Source organism: Homo sapiens, chromosome 10, assembly GCF_000001405.40.
Source record: "Homo sapiens chromosome 10, GRCh38.p14 Primary Assembly".
NCBI lineage: Eukaryota > Metazoa > Chordata > Mammalia > Primates > Hominidae > Homo > Homo sapiens.
This window is the reverse complement of record NC_000010.11, coordinates 83,909,556-83,916,062: the sequence shown is the minus strand read 5'-3', so window position 1 is coordinate 83,916,062 and position 6,507 is coordinate 83,909,556. Positions and strand designations below refer to the sequence as shown.

Genomic DNA, 6,507 nt, shown 5'->3' with positions numbered 1-6,507 from the left:
TCAGCCCCAATCTAACCTGTCACTGCTGTTGCTGTTGCTGTAGCAGCCTGGGGGGCCCTCATGGGTAAGCCTGCTGGAATGTGGACTTTGGGCATGGAAGGACCCCTCCCCCACCACCAATACCTATTGCATCTTCCTCTGGGCCTGTCTTCTCATCATTCTGCTCAACTGCAGCCTCACACCCTGACCTTGACCTGTCAAATGCCAGCCAGAGAGTGAATTTTCTACACCAACCTGTCCTTTAAATTCTTCAGGACCTGTCCACTTTCCCTTTGGATAATGTCCAAATGTCTTAAGGAGACACTATAGGATTCAATACTTCTCTGCTAGGCTTCTTTTGCTCCTTTTTTCTTTCAAACTCCATTCTCCAGCCTCCCGAATGACTTGGTGTTTCTCTCTTTAGGCTGTTGCTCTCATGCTCTTCTCACTTTCTGATCAGACATCTTTAGCCCTCTTCATCTGGGTGAGTAGCATCGTCTCATCCTACAGGTCTCTGCTGAGGCATGGCTCAAGGTGCAGAGCCTTCCCTGGTTCCCGAAACCTGGCTCAGATGCCCCTTCTGAGCTCTGGAAGCATTTTCTACCTCCCCTATCTCAGCAGATACCACATTAAATTGTATTTTCTTATTTTCTGGTTACACCGTTCCCCCTCGACCATAAATTCTACTTAGGCAAAAGCTTTCTTTTAATTGTTTTTTTGTTGTTGTTTATTTACTTGTTTAGATCCTGCTGCCTATTCATGTACCTGGCACACAACTGTTGTTCAACAAATACTTGCAGAATCACAGGATTAATAGCAGATGCACTGCAGTCCTCCTGGCTCCTGCACTTGCCACAGGAGAATGGCAGTACTTTGGAGGTTGCCCATCTCCTGTGGGCTCCAGAAACCTCAGGTGAGGGAGCTGGCTCCATAGAGAGTTCATGCTTACCTGGGTAAGCTTTGTCCCAGGACCTCCAGACGCATGTATGGAGAGGGGAGGGTATGTAAGTGGCAGGAGTGTCCTCTAGGTGAGCCCTGCTTTGCAGAGTTTCTTAGTGTGGCTGCACCCACGCATCCAAATTCCTTTGGTGTATAATTGAAACGCACAGCTGGGCCATTCTCAAAATAATAGAGGCTCCCCCAGGGAGTTTGTATTTCTGAACTCGACAAGATGAAGAGGGACCGAACAGAACATTGAAAGATTTGCCTCCTTTTGTTTCGTTTGTGTCAGAACTCCAAGGTGGTGGGAAATTTGGACTGTGCCAAGGGGAATCCAGGTTGGAGAAATTAATCCCTGCCATGTTTTAAGTTACACATGCCCAGCAAATACTCAAAGAAATGGGTAGCAGAGAATCTTAGCATTTTATCAATTTCCATTCCCCCACACCCCTAGGACACACAGCTTAATTACATTTCTGTCCTTGCAGGTCTGTGAGAGTTTTGGCAAGTGGAAGGTGGATGGCAGTGATGTGTGTCATTTCCAGGCCTGGCAACCTAAATACCTCCTCTGTGCATTCCACGGTGGCTCATTCTTGCCTTGTTGGCCAGCCAGATGCAGAAGATCCAGCATAGAGTTCCAAAGCCTCCAGGATTCCAAGGCATCTAGGAGATAGAGGAGCAACTAAATGCAGGGTGCCTGGGCCCCTGGAGGACTGCATGGAGCAGAACAACTCTTCCTCATCCCCCCTTTCTGCTGATTCCGTGTGGTCTGTGATGTGAGCAAGAAAAAGACCTTTGCTGTATTAAGCCACTGAGGCTGGCGGCTGGGGTGGGTGGGGGGTTATTTGTGAAAGCACTAAGCCTGCTCAAACTCAACAACCTTCTAGCCTGTGTCATCCCCAGGTTATCACTCCTGTCCTAGCTTCCTGAATTTCCTATTATATTCCAGGTACTTAGAATACAAGCCTAAGAGCAGAGTCCCTTGTACAGGAGAGTTGCAGATACTGGAAGTTCAAGGACAAAGGAGGGGTCTTGAATATTTGCTAGCCACTTTGCTCCTCTGTGACTATGATGTGCCAAGGCCTGCAGGAATTTTCTCCCCAGAGCACAGCTGCAGTGTGCATCAGCATGGCTGCATGATACCTATTATTTCTACATGGGCTGGCCTCTAAAGAAGAAAAAAGCTCTGCAGTGGCTGGGCCCTCACATTCCTGCAGAAGCCACATGTCCTTGCACATCTGAGCACTAGAGACCATGAGTAGGGGACAAACCTACCCATGTTCTGGAACACTGACTACTGTCTAAGCCACAAAGGAGAGTAACATGTTCTTCTGCATTGTGTTGAAGAATTTCTGCTTGAGAGTCAGAGAGATGTGGGCTTGAAGCCCTACTGTGGTATTTCAGTGACTTTGGGCAATCTTAATATCTCTAAGTACCATTCACACACACACACACACACACACACGCACGCACGCACACACATCTTTATAGATCTCACTCTATATACAGATAGAAATATCTATGTAGACTTCTATATAGAGACAGAAAAATTAAGATGCTTGTTGCACGGTCCTCAGTATTGTGCCTAATGCACAATATGTCCTAAATACATGGTAGCTTTGTCCATGGTAAGAACTACAATAATAACAAGCATTCACTGAGTGCTCCTGCCATGCTTTACCTGTATTAACCACTAACCGTGTTAACTCATCTAACCCTTACAACTAGCGTATGAATTAAGTTCTATTATTAGCTCCATCTTATAGATGGGGAAACAGAAGCAGAGTAGTGTCCATTCTACAGGTCATACAGCTATATACAGCTAGAGTGTCCGAGCAGACACTCCAGCTCACACAATCAAGAGTCCCTGCTCTTGACTGTTAGGTCAAGAAGATGATGAGGAGAAGAAGGATGACAATGTTGATGATGCCATCCTTTGGCTTCCTCAGCTTTTCTGTGGAGCCCTTTGCTCACAAGAAAATCTAACTGTGCTATGTCCTTTCCTTTCTCTCTGGCCTCCGTGGCTCCTACCGTGGGCAGCTGAAGGGTCTTCAGATGCAAGGGAGGGGGCTCTTTTGGCTCAACCCAAAGTGTCTGGCACTGGTAGCCCTGCACGTTCTAGCAGTGGCACCAAGGACCCGGCGTGGGCAGGAGCACGCAGGCTGGAGCTGCCCTGTAGGAGGCACTGCTTCTCCTGCCCTCATCGCCCACTTCTCCTATTAGGAAATGCCTGAGGAGGTGCCACTCCTGCGGGGCTGTTTTGAAGGGGCTGGAAGTCTTTTCTGTCACCACCTTTACCTACCTGTCATCTGTGAACGTGACTGGAGATGCCAAGGCTTTCCTCGACTTCTGCCACTGCCCATGGTTCATGGCCCTCTCACCCTGCTCCTCTTGTAAGCAGTGCCAGCAACTTGACATTCTGAGTGAAGCCTTGCTAGGGCCCATCCAGCACTTCTAATGGTGCTGTCAACTGGAGTCTTGTTCGTCCTTGCCCTCAGTGAAGGCCACTTTGCATGTGGACCCTGACGCTGGACACATGATGGTCAGCTCCAGTAGGCTTTGGCCTGTCAACTCATCCCAGGAGGCCGGGGGTGTCCATCTGGGATTGTGGTATTGTCTCTGTCTCAGCATGATCAGCACATGCCTCCTGGGGGATTAGCCATCACTCTTCCTTAGTGCTATGGTCAGTCCAGCTGGGAGGCTATTGCTGGAGCAGTATATGCCAGGGGCCCCAGGTAGCCCTAACCACTGCTAAGAACTGGGTTGAGTCCCCTCAACATCTGTAAGTTAAAACCCTAACCCCCTGGCTGGGCGCGGTGGCTCACATCTGTAATCCCAGCACTTTGGGAGATGGAGGTGGTGGATCATCTGAGATCAGGAGTTCGAGACCAACCTGGCCTACATGGGGAAACCCTGTCTGTACTAAAAATACAAAAAATTAGCTGGGCGTGGTGGCACGCACCTGTAATCCCAGCTACTTGGGAAGCTGAGGCAAGAGAATCTCTTGAACCTAGGAGGCAGAGGTTGCAGTGAACTGAGATCATGCCATTGCACTCCAGTCTGGGCAACAAGAACAAAACTCCGTCTCAAAAAAACACACACAAAAAAGCAAAAAAACAAAAAACAAAAATAAAAAAAGCAAAACAAAGAAAAAACCCTAACCCCCAATGTGACTGTATTTGGAGATAGGGCTTTTATGGAAGTAATGAAAGTTAAATGAGGTTATAGGATAGCGGCCTAATCCAATAAGATTAGTGGCCTTATTAGAAGAAGAGATACCAGACTTCTCTCTCTCTCTGTCTCTCTTTCTCTCTCTCTCTCTCTCTCTCTCTCTCCATGCACATGTATGGAAGAAAGGCCATGTGAGCACAGTGAGAAGGTGGCCATCTGTAAGCCAGGAAGAGAGCTCTCATCAGAACCTGACCATGCTGACACTCTGATCTTGACCTTTCAGCCTCCAGAACTGTGAGAAATAAATGTTTGTGGTTTAAGCCATCTACTCCATGGTATTTTGTTATGACAGTCCAGGTTGACTAAGACAGACACCTTAGTCTTCTGCACCAGAAATTGAGTGTTTTTTCACATGTGGGCCTTATGGTAAGAGCTTCACTATTCTGACCTTATTTACTTCCAACCCTTGGTCCCAGGCTTATCTGCTGATACCAAGAGCCTCTCCACTGTGCCTGTCACTGTGCCATGAACCATGCTTTCTGCTGCATACACCTTTGTACTCACACTGAAAGTGAGCCACTGAAACTTCTACTGAGCTAGCCCTCATCTCCACTCCTGTGACCAATGGCAGAAGCATAAATTCCACACTGTCAGTGGCATTTGAGATTCCTCTGAATGCATTTTCATGTATTATTGAGCACTGGCTATTTGTGCAGGCATTGTCGTTGGTCCCAGTGAGGCAGCCATGAATGAGAGGAATGAGGTCCCCGATTTCATAGAATCTATGTCCTAGTGAAAGAGACACACAGGCACATGCACACAAACCTGTGAACAGGATAACCTGGATAGTGTTAAGTGCTAAGAAGAAAAAGAATTCAGGTTGTTGGATAAGCTCTCCCTAAAGAGGTGACATTTGAGTTATCATCTGAATAAAAATAAGGTGCCAGCTGAGCCAGAGTCTGGAGAAAATGGTCTGAGGGAGGTAACAGCAACTGCAAATCCTTGAAGGCGGGAATGAGCTGGAGAAGCTTGGGGCTGACCTCAGCCACGGTGTCAGCAGGGATCCTGCCTTGGCTGTGCTCCTGCAGGACCTGGGATTGAAGACTTGATCTGCTAGCTCCAGCTGCTGCCAACCTTCCAAATGGATGCTGAGTAACGACAACTTCCCCCAACCTAGGCTCTGTGGAGGTTAAGAGTCCAAGTGCAAGGATGGGAACCCCACAGCAGTCACAGGCATTGGGCTCAAATACATGGCCTCAGGCAGACCCTGTGTTCTTTCTAGGGCTCTGAAAGATATCTGCTCAAAGAGATGATGAGATAAGGATAACTTCAAAGTAATGGAAGAACTAACTAGTCTCATCTCTGAGGAGATAATTAATGAGTTGGGCTATCACTTCTTGTCTTTTGTATTGATCAGTATCAATATCTGGAGCATGCAGAGCCAAAGGTGAGAGTTGAGACCATGCCTCTAAGGAATTTCCATGAATACCTGAGTTTTTCAAAGCATGAAGTGGGCAGATTGCCAGTCTGTGTCTCCTGGCTTCAGCCAGCTTCATATACTGTGTTCAGAGGGCTCCCTGTGAGGGGGTCTCTGAGCCAAGGAGAGTGCCATCTTGCATTGCATTATATTTCAGAAGACATTATAGAAGGTTATGGGGGAGCTGAAGATACTTGCTCTCCCCACTTTGATATCTGCTTCACCAGAATGACATGGGCCACAGGGGACCTGCAGGAGCTTTGCCCCGCCTCCCCTACAGCTAATCTCTAGCAGGACAGATTTTTTCCTGCCTGGCTCCCTGCTTCCTCACTTAAGGTCCATCTCCCTAGAAGAACAGCATTGCAGTCCTGAGCCCAGCAAGATCTGAGCATCACCATCTTCCTTTGGTTTTGTATGAACCAAACACCGTTGAGGGGTCTTAGAGAGGCAGGTTTGAATTTCATCTCTGTAATTAACTGTGTGACTTTGAGCATGTCACTAAACTTCTCAGAACCTCAGTTTTTTTTTTTTCTGTCAATTAGGTTGCTATGAGGATTCCAAGAAACTGAGTGTGTAAGCCACCTAGTTCTGAACCTCACACAGAGCAGACTAGATGTCCAGGTCTTCTCAACACTCTGCTTGCACTGCTAGGACAGGCCACTGCCACGACACCTGGCCCTCCCTGCTAACTGCTGAGAACACCTTCAGTTTCCCTCAAAAGAACCATCAGCCTGATCAGAATGTGGATTACCTACATCCTGTGGATCTGATGATGGGCCACCCTAGCTGTTTCCTACAGAACACCAGACTCACCTCTCCCTCCTCACTGCTTGGTACTTGCTGCTTGCTGTCTGGGGAGAATTCTGCTGCCAAATCAGCTGGCTTCCCTGACAGCTCAGTCCTGTGACTTGGGGTCAGAAATCTCTGGATCCTACCCTTCA

General features: G+C 47.8%; 1 long non-coding RNA gene across 2 annotated transcripts; it reads left to right on the top strand.

Moving 5' to 3' along the window:
* The first annotated feature begins 727 nt into the window (after positions 1-727).
* Positions 728-6,476, top strand: LOC107984181 (uncharacterized). 2 transcript variants are annotated; one of them, XR_001747301.1, is made up of 3 exons: positions 728-892; positions 1,407-1,694; positions 6,109-6,476. It is a non-coding gene; the product is annotated as an uncharacterized LOC107984181 (long non-coding RNA). The 2 variants fall into 2 exon arrangements; XR_001747300.1 differs by lacking the exon at positions 6,109-6,476 and adding an exon at positions 3,142-3,754.